The 24045-nt window shown below is 47.9% G+C and overlaps 1 protein-coding gene and 1 long non-coding RNA gene across 20 annotated transcripts in view, besides 1 other annotated feature; one reads left to right on the top strand and one right to left on the bottom strand.

The window, feature by feature from the left end:
- The window catches only part of KATNIP (katanin interacting protein), a 230201-nt gene that overhangs the window by 49714 nt on the left and 156442 nt on the right, over nt 1–24045 (bottom strand). For all 19 annotated transcript variants that reach the window (XM_005255201.4, XM_005255202.4, XM_011545775.3 and 16 more), the window contains 2 exons: nt 21711–21926; nt 8936–9073 (listed from right to left, as the gene is read on the bottom strand). In XM_005255201.4, the coding sequence (XP_005255258.1) occupies nt 8936–9073; nt 21711–21926 (354 nt within the window). The remainder of the gene's footprint in view (nt 1–8935; nt 9074–21710; nt 21927–24045) is intronic.
- Nucleotides 6143–6643: an enhancer, noted in NCBI's record as "H3K4me1 hESC enhancer chr16:27735309-27735809 (GRCh37/hg19 assembly coordinates)". NCBI's record gives its function as "activates a minimal SCP1, AML or CMV promoter by ChIP-STARR-seq in naive and primed H9 embryonic stem cells {active_cell/tissue: H9 hESC(naive and primed)}" and the evidence as "EXISTENCE:reporter gene assay evidence [ECO:0000049][PMID:30033119]".
- LOC100128079 (uncharacterized) lies at nt 11602–22210 on the top strand. The gene is made up of 3 exons (NR_147898.1): nt 11602–11918; nt 12176–12388; nt 21713–22210. It is a non-coding gene; the product is annotated as an uncharacterized LOC100128079 (long non-coding RNA).

Below are 24045 nucleotides of genomic sequence, written 5' to 3'. Positions count from 1 at the left end.
CAGGTTTGTAACAAGACGGGTCAGGTATTCCAGGCTCTGGGGATGGCAGGAGCTAAGGCAGAGAGGAGAGAAGAGTTTTATGGGGGCCAGTGGGAGGTCAAAGCTGTATAAGCACGAAAGAGCCAGAGAGCCAGATTTTGGGGTCAGGGAGTGGTGGAAGTCACCAATGCAAACACATTCAGGGTCCAGACAAGTACTGCAAATGAGACAGGCAATGGAGTGAAAGGACAATGGTGTCGCTGTGACTCAGTTCCACTCAAGTTTCCAGGTGTAAATGTGGGATCCTCTAGTTTCTCAAAAAAAAAGCAAAAAAATTCATATTTTCATGCAAAACCTCCCAATTTTAAAATGTTGGCTATTAATTCAAATAATTTTGAAAACATCATGTGATCCAGCGGAAGTCTACCTGTGAACTGCATCTGGTAACCAGTGCACAGCCTGTGTTCAGCCTTCTTCTCAGGATGCTCTGGGAGGCTGTGACAGCTGTGAGTCATGGCTGCTCCCCTGAAGCATTCTGCAGCTGGGAGGCCCTGGGCTCATCGCCTTCACTGCAGGGCCCCTGGGCCTCCCCTGCCTGGGCATGAGCTTGCAGGGGCAGGCAGCGTATCAGTGCTGATTCCCAGCACAACGCCTGGGCTTGGGGCAACTGACAAACCTCTGCTGATGAGAGGAGGGGCTGAGCCCATGAGCAGTGGAGGGAAGGATGGGGATACACGGGAATGAGGTATCATGCAGCAACAGGCAGAAGGGGAGGGACGAGCTGGATTGGGAAGGAGACTAGTTTTGGAAATAGAACTGGTAGGACTCAGAGATGCCTGACAGTGAGGGGCAAAGGGAAGTCAGAGGATCAAAGTTGTGAGCCAGGAGCTGGCGCGGACAGAAAAAGGAAGTGGAGAAGGAAGCCTGGTGTGGGTGGACAGACAGGCAGGGTTTGGGTGTGCCAAGTGGGAGTAGTGTGCATTCGCAGTAAGAAAGGCCAGAAATAGCGATCCAGTGGTTAGGCCTGCAGCTTTGATATGTGGTTAAGTGTCAAGGAAGGTTTAAGTTTGGAAGCTGATGAATAAATTCAACAGCATGTGACTCCTATGTTCTAAGAGAAAAAGAAAAAGGACTTAGGGTGGGTATGATTTTCTATCTTCCCTGATGATTTTTCCTCCTTTTAGAGGCAGCACTTCAATTTCCCATTGAAAATCCAACCTTCTCTTAATTTCACCTCATGTGGATAATGTGGGCCCACCCCAGGTAGCAATGCAGGTCTGACCAATAATGGGCGCTAGATTGCAGCTTTCACGAGGACAGTCTCTTTCTGCGGGGGCTGCTGAAATAAGCATGAACCTGATGCCATTGGGGGCTACCACGTGGAAACTGAGGATGAGGCCAGCACAGAGGAGAAGAGAGCTAAGTGATGGAGGGAGGCAGATTCCTGATGACATCATGTGAACTCCTGGATGCCACCATACCTAAAGCCAGCCACCCAGCGTCTTCTCTTACATGAGCCAAAGACTTCTATTGTGTGATTAACCCAGTTTTAATTGGGTTTTCTGTCCTTTGGTACCAAGAGAATCCTGGCTGATAAAATAGCCCTGCTACTGAGAACTCCAATCAACAGGCTCAGCTACTGAGTCAGTCCTGGCAGGAGGCAGGTGGGAAGCTCCACCCTCCAGACAATCTGTGATTTCTCCTGCTGCACCAGTCAGCACTTACACCTGGGTGAGCAGCCCTCCCCTGCCCAGGCCTCTGCCTACTTCCAGCTGCAGCCCGCCCACTTGCTCTGCACAGCACAGGACATGGGTCTCAGCTTCCATGCTGGCTCTGAGTCCACTTTCATTCTCTTTAGGAGTAGAGCCTGGCTCTGAATCCCAGTGTTCTTGTGGGGCTGCTCTCTTTAAAGGCTGAATGTGGCTGGGCCGAGCGGTTCATGCCTGTAAATCCCAGCACTTTGGGAGGCTGAGGCAAGTGGATCACTTGAGGTCAGGAGTTTGAGACCAGCCTGGCCAACATGGCAAAACCCATCTCTACTGAAAATACGAAAATTAGCTGGGCATGGTGGTGCGTGCCTGTAGTCCCAGCAACTCAGGAGGTTGAGGCAGGAGAACTGCTTGAACCCAGGGGGTAGAGTTTGCCGTGAGCTGAGATCAGGCCACTGCACTCCAGCCTGGGTGACAAAGCGAGACTGTCTCTAAATAAATAAACAAATAAATAAAGGCTGAATTCTCTGTTCACCTCTCCTTCCCCTGCTGGCTGGGGACCCGCTTTAAAGCTGACCCTCTTGGAACTCTCATGGCTACCGTGCCTGTACCTACCTGAGTGAGGACTCTGCCCACAGACTATACTCACTGCATCCCACCCAACGGAAAGTGCCCTCTGGCCATTGGCAGTGGCCTAGACCAAGCCTGAGGCCCACAGTTCAGGAAGCTTCCCATGCAATGGGGTCAGTCCCCTTTCCACCAGTTGCCCTGCTAAGATGCCCGTCATACTTCCCGGGCCCCCACAGCGCCCAGACCCTGCCATGGGGCAGAGCCATCAGGCCGCACTGACTCGGGTGACCAAATGAAGGTTGCATCTTTGACTTCCAAGTCATTGACATGTTTGGTCTTGGTTTGTATCAGATCCAAACAAACCAAGTGTAAAAGAAACAATTTTGAGAGAATTAGGAATGTTTAAATATGAAGTGGGTATCAGAGCATGATAATTAATTATGGCCATGCACGATAGTGCCATCAAGGTTACAGAAAAATAAACAAACAAACTTTTTTTGTTAGAGATGTATACTGAAGGATTTATGAGTGAAATAGTGTGATAGCTACAATTTACTTTCAAATGTTAAGGGGATACGTGAAACAACAATAGCAGAATGTTTGTAATTATTGAAGCAGGTGATGGATACACGCCTCATTACTGAACTAATCTCTTCACTTTTGCATTCATTTGAAAACTTCTTTCCAGAAAAAGGCATTGCTGAAAATGCAAATGGTCATAGGATGAGTTGAGCCCACCTAAAGTGCACCCCAAGAGCACTGACACCCTCATCCAGGCCACCACCATCTTCAGCGAGGCTGTTCTTAGGCTGTTCTATGCCTTGAGCCTCCTCTCTCGGGGCTCCCTCTGCCCCCTGATCCATTCTCCAAATCAACCAGAGTAGTCTTTTAAATTCCTCAATCAGGACCGGGCGTGGTGGCTCACGCCTGTAATCCCAGCACTTTGGGAAGCTGAGGCGGGAGGATGACTTGAGGTCAAGAGTTTGAGACCAGCCTATCTCTACAAAAAATAAAAAAACTAGCTGTGTGTGGTGTGCACACCTGGAGTCCCAGCTACTTGGGAGGCTGAGGTGGGAGGAACGCTTGAGCCCAGGAGGTCGAGGCTACAGTGAGCCATGATCACGCCACTGCACTCCAGCCTGGGCAGCAGAGAGAGACTGTCTAGAAAAACAAACAAACAAACAAACAAACATCCTCCATCAGATCACATCACCCTGCTAACAAGCCTCCGGCGATGACACTAATAGCTGACCCTCGTACAGAGGGCAGGAGGCCAAGGAATGATTCAGAGCACTTTACACGCATTCACTGGACAATATCCCATTTTTCAGATAAAGCTGAGGTATACAGATGTGATGTAACCTGCCCCAGGCCACATGGTCTCAGATGGGCTGGCTCTGACCATACTATATTCTGCCTGTCTCCGAATCAGATCCAAACCTGCTGGCCCACAGGATCTGGTCCCCACCTCCCTCTGGGACCTCTCATGACACTCCTTGTTCCCCATGCTCCAGCCACTTGGCGAAACCACAGTCCTCAAACTCCTGCCGCAGGGCCTTTGCTCCTGCTGTGCCCTGTGGGGAATGCCCTTCCCACAGATGCCCCATGGCTGCTCCTGGTCATCACTGAGCTCGGGGAAGGCCTCTGGCCACCTGGCTCCAAGCAGCCCAGCCTCCTCCTCCCTGTGGCCCTCGTTCACTGTCCTGTGTTATTGTCTTCGGAACACTTAGTGTGACCTGAAATCACATTATTCGTTGTATCCTTGTTTATTGTCCCTTCCCCAACAGAGGGGACAGGGCCTTGTCTATTTGTTCACCACTGTACCCTCAGCACTGAGACTCATGTGGTCCCCTATGTAGTCACCAGCCACGTGTGGCTACTTAAAACTAAAATTAATTAATTACAATGTAAAGTGCAGTCAGTGTCTCAGTGGCACTAGCTGCTTGTGAAATTCTCAACAGCCACCTGTGTCTAGTGATTACTGTACCAAACAGGGCAGATACAGGACATGTCTACCATCACAGAAAGTTCTAGCAAGCAGCGGTGGCCTACACCAGCGGTCCCCAACCTTTTGGGCACCAGGGACTGGTTTTGTGGAAGATAATTTTCCCATGGATGGTGGCAGGGGTGGGGATGGTTTTGGGATGAAACTGTTTCATCTCAGATCATCAGGCATTAGATTCTCATAAGGAGCGTGCAGCCTAGATCCTTCGCATGTGCAATTCCCAGTAGGGTTCCCATGCCTATGAGAATCTCATGCCGCTGCTGATCTGACAGGAGGGCAGAGCTCAGGCGGTCATGCTGGCTCATCTGGTGCTCACCTCCTACTGTGCAGTCTGGTTCCTAACAGGCCACAGACTGGTACTGGTCTGTGGCCTGGGGGCTGGGGACCCCTGGCCTAGACCACATGACATGTCACAGAAACATGCCCCTGGGGAAATGTAGCATTCATTTATCAAAAACAATTTAACGAGTGCCTTTCTGTATATAAAATATACCCTGGGTGCCTGTCCTGCCTGGATGCTCACTGCTGTCCCACTTCCTGGTGTGACCAGGCTGGAGGCGGCACTTGCGTGGTGACGCTGTGGATGATGGGGATGGTGTGCTTATCTGTACTGTCACACATAACTAACATGACTATTATAAAGGCAAACAGATGGACCATGGGGAGCTGCTGGAAGCCCACTTTTTGGATGAGTTATTACCTACTATAGAAGGGAGACTATCGGTTTCTTCCTCCCAACAGATGCCACTCTGCAGGAGAAGCAGTGCTGTGAAAAACCAGAGAAAGACAAGCGGACCTCAAATTTCCCTTCCCGGCTTTGTCTCTTACCACCTGCTAGCTGGGCAAGTCACTTAATCTGGGGAACACCAAAAGATACGACACACATGTTATCACATCCTCCTGAGCCCACGGCAGACGTGGCTGATCAATCATCACACCCTTTCCTCGATGAACCAGAAAGAAGGTTCCAGATCTTTCTCAGGACGGCACTCCAGCAAGCTGTTTCCCATCCGAGTTGGCAAAAGAGACACAGCCGATTTGCCATCTGGGATCTCACTGTCCTAAGTTCTGGCTTCTTCGTCTATAAGATGGGAAATACCACCACCTGCCTCATAGGATCACTGGGGGTTAATTGAGATGATTCATTTGTTCAGTTATTCATTCATGCATTGAATATTTACTGAGTGCCCACAGGGTGCCTATACGTGCCTGATACCTGCGGCATTCAATAAATGGCAGCTGTCACAAGTAGAGGCATCTGTGTGCTGCCTTCTGTGCACTGCTGTAGTGGTGGTGCAGCCTCCACGTCCTCACTTCACCTCTCCCATCCCTCTCCTCTGGCCCAGCTGACACTTACAGAATCACCAAGTTAGGGGGAAAGGAGCCCATAAATGCTAGCATGAGGATTTCACAGGCAGCACATTGCCCAATAAAAGAGACTCCCCTTTTTCTAGTCCCTTCCTTTCTTCTGTTCTAAATAAGCCCTGGTTGGATTAGCTGCCCACATTTAACTTTTCTTCTTCAGATTCCCATACACAAAACACTATTAACAAGCCTTGTCTACCAGGCCGAGCTATATTTCCTATAAACTCTCATTTTATCTCCTCTAAAACACACAGTAATAGCATCCTCTGGAGAATATTAAATCAAACCAACCTGCAGCTGCATTTGTTTGCGCTTTTCTGCTCCTGGTAAATTCTGGCAACAGATTGGGTTTGTGTTACATAAGCGGTGCCCTGGCAGGAACCGCAGTCCTCCACACTCCACCCTGGGTGTGGAAAGACCTCGGCTCTCAAATCCCTGCAGCCAACAGCTCCCCCAAGCACCCATGATGACACCCCATGCTCCTGAGGGACTCTTAAGACCCTGTGCCTTTTTAAACCATTCTATAAGCACAAGGAAGGCTGAGCATAGGTTAAAGAAGAAAGGCAGGCCCTGGCCAAAAGGGATGAAGCTTATCTTTGTTGTAATCCTGCACATAAAATCTGCTTTCCTTGCCCTGAGATATATATTCAATGACAGGGCCGAGCTGCAGGGCACAGCCACGGGCTGCTGGCATTGTTCCATTGCCCATTCCAGAAGAGGGTGACGATGGCCACCTGCCAGGAAGCACTGAGTGGGACTTGGAATGAGAGGACCCGACCCCAGAAGCTCTTAGTGTGCCATGGCTATGTGGGCTGGGGCTGCATTCCGGGGTCTGAGGGTCAGCCTCTGAGCACACAAGAGGCCAGGGCTGGCAAGCAGAGACATGCCCAGAGAAATTTCCGCAAGTTCCCAGTGGCTTGGCCTTCTTTTTCTCAAGTTTAAACTTCAGATGTTTGTTTAAAAACAAACAAGCAAACAAACAACCTCAACGATCAGAAATCAGAGAAAGCTCTGGGCAGCACTGTGCGTACACACAGCTGGCCGGGGCTGCCTGTCCTGTTAGTTTCCTGACTCGAGGTGCCTCGCAACTGACAGGTGCTCACGACGTGATCACTAGGTGGATGGACAGCTGGTGGGTGGCAGAACTAGCAAGAAGCAGCTCAGGAAGGGAGGATGGGAAGGAGGGAGGGAGGGAGGAAGGGAGGAAGGGAGGACTGCCTCTCTGGGACTAGGTTCCCCGCTCTGCCTCCAACCTGCCATGTGGTCTCGTGCAAGCCACCTAGCCTCTCCTATCCTCTCATCTGGATATCAGTAAGGATAACACAACTGCTTATGGATTATTAGGAACATGAGCTCATTCATTCATTCATTCATTCATCAACCACGTATTTCTCCTTTCACTAGGGCAGGGGTGGAGATGACTCTTAAGAGGTCCATGGCGGCCTGGGAAAGTAGCCATAAATTCTGGTCAGGAGATGGTGGAACATGTTCATGAGGTCCCAGAGAAGCGCAAGGGGCAGGGGGCAGGGGGCAGGGTTGGCTTCCTGGAGAAAGTGACGTCTGTGTTTCCAGGAATATCAGGCAGAGATGGGCATTCTGAGTTGAGTGAGATGGGGGTGGAGGGGGGACAGGGATAAAGGGATCACTGCTATGTTCACGGGATGGAAAGCCAGGGCAGCCTGCATTCTGACAAGAGAGAGGCAAGGCCTGGCATGAGGGGATTAGGAGGCTCTGATGTCACACTCAGGGGGTTGACCTTGATCCTCTGGGCCAAGGGGAAGCTCTGAGGGTTTGAAGCAGCAGAGATGTGTGATTGGATCGCCCTGGTGGCTGCTGGAGACAGACTGAAGGGAGCGATTAGGAGGCTGTGTTCTTTCACACCTCCATGCCTGTGAACACGCAGGGCCCTCCACCCAGGATACACTTTCTCCTTTCCTGCCTTGGCTGACTGCCATTGTCCTTTGCCATCACAGCTTAGGTGTGTGTTCCTTCAAGAACCTTCCCTGATCTCTCCCAGCCTGAGGCGGGCTCCTTTCTCCACACTCCACGCAGTCTAGGGCAGGCTAGTTCCAGCCCAAAGAAGAGTTTTGTTTGAATTGTATGGTGGTTTAAAAAGAACTTAAATTAGCTACTGACATTTACACATAAGGAAGGCTCATGTCAAAACTCAGATATCCAGCTCACTGGGCATGTTGGGAAGATCTAGCAGAACTGGCTGGTATTCTACAAAGCAACCCTTAGTTGAAGCTGAAAAGTGGCCTTCCTTTTCCCTGAGGCATGGGCTTGCCAGTCTGCCATAGTCCCCACCACTCCCTAATGTCTCTAGCAAGACTGAAGGTGAGGCTCCATTCCTATTTATAATCTCACTTGAACGATCGCTTCCCTTACAGATTTGAAAGGAAAGTACAACTCTTGCCCCTATGTCTACCATAAGAGGGGCAGATAGGCCAAGTGAATTCCTGTCCTTCCTCACTATTTAGTTCCCTGATAGAACTATGAGTGCATGAAAAACAGCCCAGAGAAGGAAGGAAAGGGTGTGGGCACAGGCAGCAGCATGAGGGTAGATAGTGTGAGGTTAGAAAGGAGGGTGTGGATCCTGCAACCGGAGGTGGTGGGTCCAAAGGTAGCAAGTTATCTCAATTGATCACAGTCAGTTACAGATCTAACTCCTTTTTCCATTCTATCACCCCTTCTCATTACTGTACTTGACTAGTCTTTTAAAAAATAAAAAATAGAACCAGAGGGGCACAATAGTCAGAGGTTAAGAGCCTGGCTAGACACAGTGAGGTCCACAGAACAGGAAGATTGGGATGCCTGGGAGCTGGCTAGACCTACAGAATCTCAGGCCCTGCTCCAGACCTGCTGAATTAGAACCTGCATTTTAGCAAGATCCCGCAGATGAGTCAGTGCAAGTTAACATTTGAGAAGTGAAGGCTAAGAGAAAGGGCCTGGAGTCCAAATGCAGGCGTTCACATTCTCATTCTGACACTGACTGGCTGTGACTTGGGGCAAGTTACATAACCTCTCTGTGTCTGTTTCCTTATCTGTAAAACTGAGTCTCAGCTTACATTTTTCCAGTTCCCCCAAGGGTGGCCTGATACCACCTCCCAACACCAGCAGCCGGAAGCTCTGTCCCTGGGGGCTATGAGAATGCAGTGTGAACCTACCAGCAGGCTCTTGCTGCACACACGAGGCCAGCAGGGCTTCCGTGTATCCATTTTGCAACTTTAGGAATCAGGCTATTGGCAAACTGCTAAGTGCTTCCATCAACCCAGTGCCCAGTGGGGAACCAGCGCCTGTTACTTACGCCATCAGCTGTCCAGTAATTCCGAACCTTGATCTTGGCCAGATGGAAGTCCCCCAGCTGTCTTGTGTTTCGAATAACAAAAAACAGCTGGAGTGGTGGGTGGAAGGGGCAGGTCCACGGGGAGGAGTCTTTCTTGCCCTAGAAGGCCAGCAAGAGAAGGAAATCATTAGGCACATTTCTGCCTCTCCCCAAAGTAAAATGGCAGCGGCTCTTTGGCTCACGAAAACCAGGAGAGGCCTGGTGAGGGCTCAGGGCAGACAGCCAGGCCACCCCGTTGCCATCACCCAGGCTGGGGACTCAGATCACCCCGTCTGGACGGCACTTCACAGCAGGCTACTGACCCCATCCCACCCCCTGCACAAAGCTGCCACACGGACCCCTCTGATCTGCCAACCAGACGGAATTTAAAATGCAGCGGGCTTTATTTTCATCAACTTAATCGGCTTTGAGGAGAGCGCTGGGGGAGGGGAAAGACGCTAGAGAGAAGGATGGGACGCTATTTGATTAACCTGGCAAACAGAGCCTTTGATTTTCTTTTGTAAAACCCTGATGAATTTTTAAAATTTTAAAATAGAAAAGAAAGAAAGCTACTAGCTCAGTCGTTGGTTGGGCCAGGGCCAGGGCACTGAGCCCTGGGATTTATTCTGTTCCTTTCAGGGTTTCCAAGCTTGGAGGCTTCAGTTTGCAGACTCCCCCTGATGGAGGCCCCAGGGGCAGGTGAACAGAGACGCCTTGCTGTCATTCTCATTCACACGGACAAAATTGCATGTCATGAGTGCTTTGGGTACAGATGGAAAAACCCAAACCAGGGGACTTTTCTCAGCCCCAGCCGCCTCCTCTTGGCTTTCTACAATACCTATTCACTCTCCAGTGGGACAAAACTCACAGCTGCTCCCAAACGCGTCCACGCTGGCTCGACCCAGTGCCTTGGCACAGGCTGGGCCTCTGCTTGCTTGCAATTCTCTTCTTAACCTTCTCAATCTGGGGAATTCAGTTAAATCCAAGTGCCCTCAGCTACTTGCAGTCCCCAAGCTTGGTGCCTACCTCGGTGTCCCACGATCATCTCTTTTCACGTCCATGTCAGGCCCCCATTCAGCCGTGAGCTCAAGGGAAGGGGTTGTGTCTGGTTATTCCAGAATCCTAGGCTTTTAGCATAGTTCCTTGGCACATGGAAGATGCCAAAAAAAAAAAAAAAAAAAGAACAAAACCCTTTGTGTAATAAATAAATGACTACATGAATGCACACACATGGAGTGTGCCTCCTAATGTCTGCCCTTTCATTAAAGCTTTAGGGAGGAGACTGTAGGCCAGGTGCTGTGGCTTATGTCTGTAATCCCAGCACTTTGGGAGGTGGAGGCAGGTGGATCACCTGAGGTCAGGAGCTCGAGACCAGCCTGGCCAACACAGAGAAACCCTGTCTCTACTAATAATGCAAAAATTAGCTGGGCGTGGTGGTGCATGCCTGTAATCCCAGCTACTCAGGAGGCGGAGGCAGGAGAATAGCTTGAACTCGTGAGGTGGATGTTGCAGTGGGCTGAGATCGTGCCATTGAACTCCAAACTCCGTCTCCAGGAAAAAACAAACAAACAAACAAACAGAGAAGAGACTGTAAGCTGGGTCTGGCTTACACAGGTATTTGTTTGGTTCATCCAGTGTAAACAACAACAACAACAACAACAAAGCAAACACAAATTCATTGCCAACATTTAAAAATGGGGAGATTCAGACAGGTGCAGTGGCTCATGCCTTTAATCCCAGTGACTTGGGAGGCTGAGGCAGGAGGATCACTTGAGGCCAGGAGTTAGAGACCAGCCTAAGTAATATAGAGAGACCTTGTCTCTACAAAAAAATTTTAAAAATTAGCAGGATGTGGCAGTGTTTGCCTATAGTTCTGGCTACTCAGGAGGCTGAAGTGGTAGGATTGCTTGAGCCCAGGAGTTTGGTACCACTGCACTCCAGCCTGGGCAACACAGTGAGACCCTGTCTCTAAGAAAAAAAAAAAAAAAAGAAATAAGGGCTGGGTGCAGTGGCTCATACCTGTAATCCCAGCACTTTGAGAGGCTGAGGCGGGTGGATCATTTGAGGTCAGGAGTTCGAGACCAGCCTGGCCAACGTAGTGAAACCCCGTCTCTACTAAAAGAAAAAAAAAATACAAAATTTAGTTGGGCATGGTGGCGGGCCTCTAATTCCAGCTACTGGGGAGGCTGAGGCAGGAGAATCGCTTGAACCCAGAAGGTGGAGGCTGCAGTGAGCCAAGATGGCACCACTGCACTCCAGCCTGGGTGATGAAGTGAGACTCTGTCTCAAAAAAAGGTGGTGGTGGAGGGGGGAGATTTCTCCAAACAGCCAGATTTCTGACCCCTCTGCAGACTCGGAAGACATGGCAGCTCAGGAGCCCTGATGGCCGTTTCCTGGAGCCAAGAGTGTGCAGCCCTTGAAGCCCGCCATTTCCCAGGGCTCCAGGGTCCCCACCACTCCCTACTGCTTCATATCCACCTTGCTTCCCTCTTCTGCCTTGGCCTGGCCCCTGTAGGCATTGAGTCTGCAGTCCTTGTTTAGGGGCTGAGCAGCAGCAGCAAGTCCCATCTGCCAATAAGCAACCTCTGCAGGCCTGACACTGGCTGAGTTGTCCCTTTTATCTCAAAGGGGCATCACCCTGCATTTGAGAACATCTCAACAGACTCCCCGTCACCAGGAACGTGCCTGCTACTTGACAGAGCCAGGGAGGGAGGATTGGCTGATCTGGGGTTTTATTGGCCCCCAGGAGATGGAAGGCCCAGGCTCCAGCTGCGGTGGAGGACAAAGGGGACTTGTTTTGGTGACAATGGTGCCTTTCAGGAGGGAGGAGGTGGCTTTTGTTAAGGGGGAACGATGAGTTCAAGGGGTTCTGACTTATTCTGGCAAGTTTCTCCAGCTCTACAAGAACTTCTAGTGCTCTGGGCAGCTGCGAGGGGTCAAGAAACCACATCCCCAAATCCAGCGGGTGAGTCTCATTCCTTTGCTGAGTGGGGGCCTAAAATGGGGCACTGTGGCTGCCTGACAAAGGAAGAGACTGATGGCTGACCCTTAGATGTGGGCTAGGGGACTGTAATTGATTTCCCTTCACATTTCTGTCAGCAGGAGGAATAACAGGAGGGCTAAGCGGGAATTGTGGTGTTCAAAGTCAAAGAACATTAACCTGCGGATAACTCTGGGCCTCATTAGCAACCCAGCCTTCTGATGTTTTCTCTCCACACACAGGATCTCAGAGAGAAAGGCTGATGGGAAGCTGCCCAGGGCTGACCTGGCACATGCTGGGAAAACCCCTCGGTGCCAGGGCAGGAGGCAGAGCGTCTGCAGCTCCTCCCTCCCCAACACAGGGGGTAAGGAATACAGCAGAACGGGAATCGGGCGCCTTCATGCTGCTGTTACCGCCCTTGGTTCATGGCTTCTTTCACTTGGAAACCCCAGGAGGTGGGCATTGCTGTACCGCATGTGCTACTGACCAAAACAGGCCAAAGCTCAGCGAGGGGTGGGATCACCTAAGGTTGTGCAGCACCTACGTGGTGGAGTGAGGATCCGAGCCTCCATCTTTCATGCATTAATTCATTCTGTCTCTGGATTCCCCTAGAAGCAGACCCTGAGGCAAGGATCCACATGTAAGTAGCTTATTTAGACAGAGCAGAAAATATCAATGGGAGAGTGAAGAAGTGAGACAAGGCAGGGAAGGTGGCTCATAAAGGGTATGTTTTCAAGACAGCTGCTCCTGTGGGCAACTGGAGCTTAATCCCCCCAGGGAATCTGGGAGCCAGGGTGGAACAGGCCTCAGAGTGACTGCACCAATGGGGCCCGGGAGTTGGGGTATAAATACCAACTCCCAATGTTGGTTGAGTGCTGCTCCTGGGGGGCTTCTATTTCTCTCTGTATGGAAGGTAAAGCGGGCCCTGGAGGCCACAAAAAGAATCCTCCAGGAAAGAAATCTCAGTGCTGCCATTCAGAAAAGCAGTCAGCATGCCCTGAAGTGCTAGGGCAAAAGGGTGGAAGCAGGCACTGACATATCTACTCCATAACTTGCCCAACAAACACTGTACAGGGTCCCTCCTAGGAGACTGATGCTGAGCCAGACCCGGGGCATGTGCAAGGGAACCTGACCCACCAGGTCCTAGCAGCTCTGTGCTATGAGGGAAGGCAAACAGGTAATGTTTCCAAGAAAAAAAAAATCAAGTAGGGACACATTCTAGGAAAAAAATAAGAGAGAATTATTAATGGCCCATGGAACAGCTATTTTAGAATGAATGGTTAAAGCAGGCTTCTCTGAGCAGGTAACTTTCTAACTCCTAAACCAAAGGTGGCTTTTTAACTCCAGTATTAACATAACACTGAATAGCAACCTGCAGGGAGATACTGCGCTGCCCTCAGAAGTAGCTCCAATTTAATAAATTATTGCATTAAAAAGGAACAAACTATTGACACACACAACAATTTGGAAGGATGTCAAGGGCATTACGCTGAGTGAAAAAAGCGAGTCTCAGAAAGGTTACCAACTCTGGTAATGACATAAATGCTACATAAATTGGCTGGGCGCAGTGGCTCACACCTGTAATCCCAGCACTTTGAGAGGCTGAGGTGGGCGGATCACGAGGTCAGGAGTTCGAGACCAGCCGGGCCAACATAGTGAAACCCTGTCTCTACTAAAAATACAAAAATTAGCCGGGTGTGGTGGCGCCGCCCGTAGTCCCAGCCACTTGGGAGGATGAGGCAGAAGAATCGCTCGAACCCGGGAGGTGGAGGTTGCAGTGAGCCGAGATCGCCCCACCGCACACCAGCCTGGGCGACAGTGTGAGACTTCGTCTCAAAAAAAAAAATGCTACGTAAATGGTATGATTCCATTTACGTAGCATTCTTGAAACGACAAAATGTAGGTAGAGGAACAGATCAGTGGTTTCCATTGTCAGGACTGGGCATGGGGAAGTGTGGCTGTACAAGAGGAGCCCAAGGGAACTCCTTGGTGGTGATGGAACTGCTCTGTATCTCAAATGTCTGTATCTTTAGAAAGAAATCTACATATGTGATAACACTGCATAGAAATATATACATGTACACACAAGTGAATGTATGAAGGTCTGTACATTATACCAATGTCAAGGTCCTGGTTTTGATTATGTACTACAGTTACATAGAATTTACCACTGGGGAAAGCTGGGTAAAGGTGTGTAAGATTTCTCTGTCCTTTTTTTTTTTAATTGAGATATAATTCATATAGCATAAAGTTCGCCATTTTAAAGCGTTCAGTTCACTGGTGTTTTAGTATATTCACAAGGTTTTTCAACCATTACCATTATCTTCTTCCAGTACATTTTCACCACCCTCCAAAAGATAACCACATTCATTAGCAGTCTCTCCCCATTCCTGCTTCCTCCCAGCCCCTGGCAATGACTAATCTACTTTCTGCCTTCAGATTTGCCTATTCGGGACATTTCATATAAATGAAATGAAATTATACAACATATAGCCTTCTGTGTCTGGCTTCCTTCACTTGGCATAATGTTTTCAAGGTTCATCCAGGTTGTAGCATGTAGCAATAGTTCTTTCCTTTTTAGGGCTGAATAATATTCCATTTTGTGGAAATACTACATTTTCTTTATTCATCCATTGATGGACATCTGGCTGTTTCTACTACTTTTTGGCTATTCTGAATAATGCTGCTATGAACATGCATGTACAAGTTTTTTTTTTTTTTAAATAAATGTATGTTTTTAGTTATCCTGGGTATGCACCTAGGAATGGAATTGCTAGGTCATGGGTAACCCTACATTTACCTTTTTGAGAAATTGCTAAGCTGTTTTCCACAGGGGCTGCACCATTTTACATTTCCACAAGCAAAGAATGAAGGTTCCAATTTCTCCACATGCTCACCAATACTTATTTTCTCTTTTCTTTTTTAAAATTACAGCTGTCCTAGTGGGTGTGAAGTGATATCTCATTGCGGTTTTGATTTGCATTTCCCTAACAACTTATGATGTTAAGTATCTTTAATGTGCTCATTAGCCATTTGTACATTTTCTTGGAGAAATGTCTATTCAAAGTCCTTTGGCCATATTTTAATTGGGTTGTTCATCTTTTTGTCATTACGGTTTTTTTCTTTGTATATTCTGAATATTAGACCCTTATCAGATATATGATGTGCAGATATTTTCTCCCTTTTGTAGGTTGTATTTTTACTTTCTTGACAGTGTCATCTGAAGCAAAAATGTTTTTAATTTTGATGAAGTCTGACTTATCCGTTTTTTCTTGTTTTTGGTTGTTTGTGCTTTGGATGTCATAGCTAAGACTTCATTGACAAATTCAAGGCTATCAAGATTTACACCTTTGTCTTCTTCTAAGAGTTTGAAAGTTTTAGCTCTTACATTTAGGTCTTTGATCCATTGAGTTAGTTTTGCATAAGGCATATGGTGGAAGTCCACCTTCATTTTCTCGCATGTGGAAACGCATTTGTCCCAAGGCCATTTTTTGAATGACTATGCTTCTCCCATTGAACAGTTGTGGTATCCTTGTTGGAATCAATTGACTATAAATCCATGGGTTTACTTATGGATGCTCAATTCTATTTCATTGATCTATATGTCTATCCTATGCCAGTACCATGCAGTCTTTATTACTGCAGAGTTGGCGTATGTTTTGAAATTGAAGTGTGAGTTCTACTTTATTCTTTTTCAATAATGTTTTAGCTTTCCAAGTCCCTTGAAATTCCCTATAAATTGAAGAATCAGCTTGTCAACTTGTACAAAGAAATCAGCAGAGATTCTGATAGTGATTTTGCTGAATCTGTAGGTCAGTTTGGGGAAGTATTACCATCTCGACAATGTTGTCTTCTGATCCATGAACAGGGGATGCTTTTCCAGTTTCTTAGATCTTAGGTTTCTTTCAACAATGTTTTGTAGTTTTCAGAGTAAACATTTTGTACTTCTTTTGTTAAATATATTTCTAAGTATTTTATTCTTTTGATGCTACTGTAAACATAATTGTTTCTTAATTTCATTTTCTCTTGTAATCCTTTTTATTTCTGTAAGGTCAATAGCAATGTTCTCTCTATCATTCTTGATTTTAGTAATTTTAATCTTCTCCCCCATCTTTTTTTGGTTAGTTTAGCTAAAGGTTTGCCAATGTGTTAATCCTCTCAAAGAACCAACTTTTGATTTCATTGACTTTCTCTATTGTTCTTCTGTTTTCTGTACTATTTTACAAATTCCTGTGAGTCTATAATTATCTCCAAATAAAAAGTTTAAAAACTGTAAGCTTAAACAACAAAACAAAAAAACTGTAAGCTATGTTTCTGTTTAAAAAAACAAAAAAATATATATGGCACATTTTTATGTACTGGGGATATAGTGTAAACAGGACAGATAAGAATTTTCAGATAAACTGGGGAGACATAATATACATGTAAACAAGATCATTTCTTACAGTGAGATGTGCTCTGAAGAAATGAAAAAGGATGATGTGATAGTGACTGGGGTGGGAGGGAACAGGCCTCCTCCAGATTGTTGGGTGAGGGAAAGTCTTGCTGAGAAAGTGACATTAGGGCTGAAATCTGAATGTGGAGAAGCAATGTGAAAAACTGGAGGAAGAGGGTTTTGGAGAGGTAGGAATGAGGTTGGTGGATTGGAAGGAGAGGGCAGGCCCAAGGCTGCTGGAGCCTGGGTGTGAGGCGGGGGTGTGTGAAGCAGACAGAGTTGGGGCGGAGGCCTGTTCACAGAGAGCCTCCAGGCCATGGGGAAACACCAGGGCTTTATTTCCAAGGGTAACCAGAAGTCACAGTGAACATGTTTCAAGTAGGGGAAGGGCACAATCTGAGATAGATATATATATATATATATATATATATATATATATATATATATATATATGTATATACACACACACACACATATATAATATGTGTATATATACATATACACACACATATATATAATATGTATGTGTATATAATACACACACATATATATAATATGTATGTGTATATATATACACACACATATATATAATATGTATGTGTATATATATACACACACATAAATATAAATACACACATAAATATACATACACACACATATTAATATTTTTTAATTAATTTTTTTTATGGAGACAGGGTCTCACTATGTTGCCCAGGCTGGTGTCAAACTCCTGGCCTCAAGTGATCCTCCTGCCTCGATCTCCCAAAGTGTGCTGGGATTATAGGTGTGAACCACTGTGCCCAAATGTACTGTCCCCATGATTCAATTATCTCCACTTGGCTCTGCCTTTGACATGTGGATATTTTTACAATTCAAGATGAGATTTGGGTGGGGACACAGTCAAACCGTATCAATCCCCAATACATGTAAGTGTGCAATACATACATACATATATATTTTACTTTTTATTTGGAAATAATTCTAGACTCATAGGAAATCCATAATTTCCTAGGGCAATTAAGGAAGACTCTAGGTGGTACATCTGAGCCGACAGCAATGCCAGTTACTGAACAAAAAATACTGGAGGAAGAAGTGATGTGGGGAAGAGGGCAGGGGAATCAAAACTTAAGTTTTAAATCTCTGAGGTCTGAAATGGGCTGGGTATGGTGGCTGATGCCTGTAATCCCAGTGCTTTGGGAGGCCAAGGCAGGAGGATTGCTTGAGGCCAGGAGATCGAGATTAGCCTGGGACACACAGTGAGACCCTATCTCTACAAAAAATAAAAACAAATTAACCAAGTGTGGTAGTGTGTGCCTGTAGTTCCAGCTTCTTGAGAGGCTGAGGTTGGGGGGTGGCTTGAGCCCAGGAGGTCGAGGCTGCAGTGAACAATGACTGCACCACTGCTCTCCAGCCTGGGCAACAGAGCAAGACCCTGTCTCTAAAAATAATAATAATAATAATGAAGTCTGAGATGGCCAGGAGAGATCCAAGAGATGTCAAGCAGGAAGTTGACATTCATGTCAGTAACTCAGAGGGGCAGGCAGGGCTGGGTGTATAAATCTGGAGTCATCTTGAGGCCTTGTGCTGGGATGCAGCCAATGAGAGACATGGTGCGGGCACAGAAGGGTGGAGTTTCCATAGAGGCTGGGGCACTCCCACATCTTTTGAATGCTCCAATTCACTTCCACTGAAGCATTTTCTCTTTCAAACCCAGCCTCCGCTTCTAGGTACCTCAGCTGTCGGGTGAGCTCTATCAGCCATGCGCATGGCCTGGGGCAAGTGCCTCTTCCTCACTGCATCTTGTTTTCTCTCATTGGTAAAATGAGGAGAGTCATCCCAAGGTTCATGTGAGGGTTAAACGAGGCGATGCACCAGGCTGTGGCTGCCACACGCTGGTGCAATTAGATGGTTCTGAGAGGCAGTGTGTTCCGGTAGCCCCGGGCCTGGGACCCAGGATGCAGGGAAGCCCCACGTCAGGGAAGAAGGGGGAATCCAGCCTTCCTGTGGATGAGCCCAGAGACCCAGCAGCCCAGGGTGACACAGCTGCCTCATGTCCCAATCGCAGGGCCAAAAAATAAAAACCTCAAATCCACCAAAACCGTGGACCATCACATGGCAAAGCGCCCCAGTCTCTGCTAAACAGAAGAAAGGGAGAGCAATCATCAGAATTGGTCCCCATCAAATCCAGTGATGCTTTTTATTGTCTCTAGTGTGCTCTGTTCTGGAGAGCAGGCTTCCAAAATGCCACTGCTTTCTGCAAGAGTGGGGCAGGGGAGGGGTGGCGAAGGCTGGGCCAAGTCCCAGCAGCAAGCATGGGAGCCTATAGACTTGAATCTGGAGGCAAAGCAGGGATAGGCCAGGCCACAGCACCCAGGCAGCCATCATCCACAGCTCAGGGACTGTGTCTTTTGAGGGCTGAGATCACAGAGCTACTGATCTAGAAGGGGACTCAGACCCACCCAGTCCAACCCTGGGGACAGTTGTTGCTTCTTAGCTATCTAGCATCCAGCCCGCCGTTTGAGTGGCAATCTTGAATTTCTTAATTTTTGTTTTTACTTGTGACATATATTACACCTTTTCTAAGCAATCTTGAATACCTTCAGGGAGAATCTTTTCCTGCCCTGCTGGGGCATCTTGGTGGAACTGGCATCAAGATGTCCTGCCCTATTCAGTCTGGTCCATCAGCATTCCTCTCCTGAGACTATTTCCAGCAGAGAGTTGCGAGGACAAACCAACCAGCTAACCGACACTGCCGAGGCATCTCAATAAATGGTTGCTGTATGAACTAAGGGAATGAAGCTTTATCCTTTTCTCCATCTCCCCTTCTCATTTTGTTCCCTTCTCTGAAAGTAGCCCCCAACCTTGAGTCATGACCCAGTTTAAGACGTAAGTTAGTGATGGTTTCGGATGCCATGGAAGTGACCACTCACACAAAGGCCAAAACAGTCAACTAAGTAGGACAGCACGATCTCCCCCAGAACCTCAAGTCTGAGAAAAGAATCTTTCCAGAAGAATCTCACATCCTCCTGTTCATCTCCCACCCCCAAAAGACCACACCCGTGGTGGCCAGCATTCCAGGATGCTCCCTAAAACCCCAACTTTCCCCCAAGGCCCATCCTCTCCTGGCCTGCGTGGCAGTGAGTACACTAGCTACTCAAAAGACTTGAAACACATTTACTTTTTAAACATGTGCTAACTGAGCTGGACTCAGTTTCTGCTGCTGGAAATCTAAGAATCTGAACAGATGATTGACCCAATCTCCCATTTTTCAGCTTGCAGAAAAACCCACTCTCAGAGAAGGCAGGCAAGTTGCTGAGGCCAGAGTCAAGACCAGAATCTGGGTCTCTAGAACCAGAGATTTCAAAAACCCCTTTTCTTGTTTCCTCTTCTTTAAAATGGGAATAACACTAACTACTTTTCCCAGTGGTATTAATACTATTAATAATAATAACAATAACAGCAAAGGCTGGGCATGCTGGCTTATGCCCGTAATTCCAGCACTTTGGGAGGCCAAGGTGGGAGGATCACTTGAGGCCAGAGAAACCATCCCAGGTAACATAGTGAGACCCCGTCTCTATAAAAAATTTTACAAAATTAGCCAGATGTGGTGTTGTGTGCCTGTAGTCCCAACTATTTAGGAGGCTGAGGCAGGAGGACAGCTTGAGCCCAGGAGTTTGAGGCTGCAGTGAGCTATGATCACGCAATAACAACATCTTCCCAGGTCTCCGAGGAGATAATTGTGAATGAAGCTGAGGCCCAACATAGCAAAGATGACGTGGCTGCTACTCTGGCTCAGTTTAGCTCACAGTCTCTTGTGTGCAACTTGCAAGTAGCAGGAAGGAAAAAATGCCAGTACCCTCCCCGATCTTTTTTTTGTAAATTCTGTTGTTTGTTTGTTTATTTGTTGAGACGGAGTCCTGCTCCATCGTTCAGGCTGGAGTGTAGTGGCACGATCTTGGCTCACTGCAACCTCCCCTCCCAGGTTCAAGCGACTCTCCTGGCTCAGCCTCAAGTAGGTGGGACTACAGGTGTGTGCCCCAACGCCTGGCTAATTTTTGTATTTTTGGTAGAGACAGGATTTCGCCATGTTGGCCAGGCTGGTCTTGAACTCCAGGCCTCAGGTGATCCGCCCACCTCGGCCTCCCAAAGCGCTGGGATTACAGGTGTCAGCCACTGTACCTGGCTCTGTTGGATATTTAAAGGAAAGAAACATTCAACGTTTGTGGAGTGTGCACCTCACGACCTAGGGCAGCAGGGTCCTGAGGGGGTGTGGGCAAGGGTCCTGGCCCAGGCTGCCCGATATGAACTTGGCTCCACTACCTTCCAGCTGCATGACCTTGGCCAAGTCAATGCCCTTCTCCAAGCTGTAGTTTCTTCAACTACAAAGAACATCCATTAACCTTAATGACCCCTGAGGTCCAGTGTTTGATGGTGACTGTGGAAAACTGCAAGGTGGATAAAAGCAGGTGAATTGGCTCCCCCAAGAAAAACCCACAGAGCAGGGGCTGGGAAACAGCTTAGGGAGAGAGTGTCTGGGGCCTCTGCCAGCACCACTCCCTCAGGTTCCTCCCCAACTTTGCCCAAATGAATAACCCTGGTAGATTTTATCTTATTTATTTTTTTTGAGACAGAGTCTCATTCTGTCACCCAGGCTGGAATGCAGTGGCACAATCTTGGCTTACTGCAATCTCGGCTTACTGTAACCTCTGCCTCCTGGGTTCAAGTGATTCTCCTGCCTCAGCCTCCAGAAGTAGCTGGGATTACAGGCATGTGCCACCACGCCTGGCTAATTTTTGTATTATTAGTAGAGATGGGGTTTCACCATGTTGGCCAGGCTGGTATTGAACTCCTGACTTCAAGTGATCCACTCGCCTCGGCCTCTCAAAGTGCTGGGATTACAGGTGTGAGCCACCATACCCGGCCTATTTTTTTTTTTTTTTTAGAGACAGGGTCTTACTCTGTTGCTCCGACTGGAGTACAGTGGTACAGTCACAGCTCACTGCAGCCTCAATCTCCTTAGGCTCAGGAGATCCTCCCACCTCAGCTTTCCAAGTAGCTGGGACTACAGGCACAAGCCATGATGCCTGGCTAATTTTTTGTGTTTTTTGTAGAGACAGGGTTTTGCCTTGTTGCCCAGGCTGGTCTTGAACTCCTGACCTCAAATGATCCGCCTGCCTCAGCCTCCCAAAGTGCTGGGATTACAGGTGTGAGCCTCTGTACCTGGCCAGATTTTGTTGTTCTTCCCCTCCCTCCACTCATACCCTTAACACAGATTTACCAAGGGCAGAGAAAATGCATGGGAATACACAGCCAAGAAGCAATCCAGTGCCCCTTCCACTCACAGCTAAGTTCCTGTTGACGAGGCGGCCCAGCTCCCCAGGCGTGGCTGTGTTCCGGATATCCACATCGTGGGGCGACACATAAAGCTTTGTGTCATTCAAGTCAAAGAACTCGACTTCTGTGAGACCCACCCACCACGAGTTGCCCCAGTTGGACAGGATCTCCATGGTCACGTAGATGGCATCTTTGATCTCGTCTGCCCTCATTCTCTGTTTGTCCTTAAAGAAGAGAAAAATAACACCAAAGGATTAAGTCATGACAGGCTTGAATTCGGCTCTGCCTCTGCCACCACTGCCTTCAAAAAGTTAGTTAACCTTCAGGGTCTCAGTCTCTCCATCTGTACAATGAGGATAAGAATAGCACCCACTACCTATGGTTATTACAATGATTAAATGAATTCATACTGTAAAGCATTCAAAATAGAGGCCCTGTGTAACTGGCACTCTGTGAGCATTCTGTTTGAAAGTTTACAAATAAATAAAAATGTCTAAAAAGCATTGAATTCTGCCTGAACATGCACGTCTCTCCCCCACTACTCAGTGTTCGGTACCCAGAAGCTTGTCACGACATCTGCTGAATTGAGTAGGTGTTACGTGCTAAGGCCGGGCACGGTGGCTCACGCCTGTAATCCCAACACTTTGAGAGGCCAAGCTCGGAGGATTCCTCGAGGCCAGGAGTTCAAGATCAGCCTAAGCAACAAAGTGAGATCCTGTCTTTACAAAAAAATTAAAAAAAAAAAAGAGCTTGGCACAGCGGCACATGCCTGTAGTCCCAGCTACGCAGGAGGCTGAGGCAGGAGGATTGCTGGAGCCCAGGTGGTTGAGGCTGCAGTGAGCTGTGTTCACACCACTGCATTCCAGCCTGGGTGAAAGACCCAGTCTCAAAAAAAAAAAAAAAAGGTTACGGGCTGAATTTATCCCTTCCAAATTAATCTGATGAAACTCTAATCCCCAGTACCTCAGAATATGACTGTATTTGGAGATAAGGCCTTTAAATAGGTGATTAAGTTAAAATGAGGCTGTGGGGGAGGGGGGCACTAATCCAATCTAACTGGTGTCCTTATAAGAGGAAAGTTGGACACACAGAGAGACACACCAAGGATGCACACACAGAAAAAGGCCATATGAGGGCAAAGCAAGAAGGCAGCTATCTGCAAGCCAGAGAGAGGCCTCAGAACAAACCAAACCTGCCAACACCTTGATCTTGGACTTCCAGCCTTCGGAATTGTGAGAAAACAAATCTCTGTTGTTGAAGCCACCCCATGTGTGGTATTTTGTTATGGCAGCCCTGGTGGACTGATATAGTAGGTAACATGGCCCCCTGGCCTTGGACAAGTCACTTGACATCCCTCGGCCTGGTTGGGGAAGAGGACATGACACCATCTATGTGATAATCCTGTCACAGATGTTAAACAAGATATCAATACCTAAGAAGGCCCTATCATGAGCCTCGGCCCTGGGTGCGCTCTGTAAGTGTCTGTTTCTTTCTGTTTCTCTCCTTCATTGGTTTTAATGCCTGCCTCCTTCCTGCGTCGGCTGTCTGCTCTGAGAGCCTGCGTGAATGCCATCAATAAATGGCCACCGTTCGGAATGGCTTCCTGAGGCCCTCCAGGGCTGATTGCAGCACTGGTCGCCACGGATCAGTCACTCACAAAATGGTGCATTCCCCATGTGCACATGCCCTCTGTTAATTAGCATGGGTAATCTGCAATGGTTCTGTGAGCAGGGAGCCAAGCAAATGAACAGCAACTGTTCCCCACTTATTTTTTTAATTAATAGCCAGCGAGACGTGCTATTGCTCTCAGTGTGTGTTTGGAGGGGCCTTGATTGCCACACGGTGGGAACGCGGATAGGGAGGAGGGAGAGAGGTCAGCTCACAGCTCCTGGATAAAAGATAGGGCCTGTTTTGATCAGCTGGGCCCTCGAAACCCACAGCTTCCTCCTGCTCCACAGCCATGTGGGGTCCTGGCCAAGCCTCTGCTGCCCTGGGTCTGAGTCCCAGGCATGCAGGACAGTGATAAAGCTAAACTGGCCTAGTTGACTCCAGGGGACTGGGAGTTAATGAGCTTGTGATAGTGTGGAGCAATCCAGGGCCAGGTGAGTGGTCAGTCTGGGGATTGCTGAAGAAGTGGCACCGTTCACCTTGCTTGTTGGTGGGAGGCAGGAGGACCAGATGGGAGGCAGGCTGCCTTTCAGAGGGGCTGCTAGAACTCCCACCCAGTGCAATCTGAAATGTGCAAATTCCTCAGCTGCGTTCGTAAATGAAAAAGCTGAAGGATCTGTTAACTAAGCAAGTGTCACAACTCGTCTGTTGCTACTCAGTGGCTCCTCCTGCTTC

The sequence above is a fragment of the Homo sapiens genome, chromosome 16, assembly GCF_000001405.40.
Source record: "Homo sapiens chromosome 16, GRCh38.p14 Primary Assembly".
In the NCBI taxonomy this organism is placed as follows: Eukaryota; Metazoa; Chordata; class Mammalia; order Primates; family Hominidae; genus Homo; species Homo sapiens.
The sequence above is the reverse complement of the archived record's forward strand: the minus strand, read 5'-3'. Positions and strand labels throughout refer to the sequence as shown.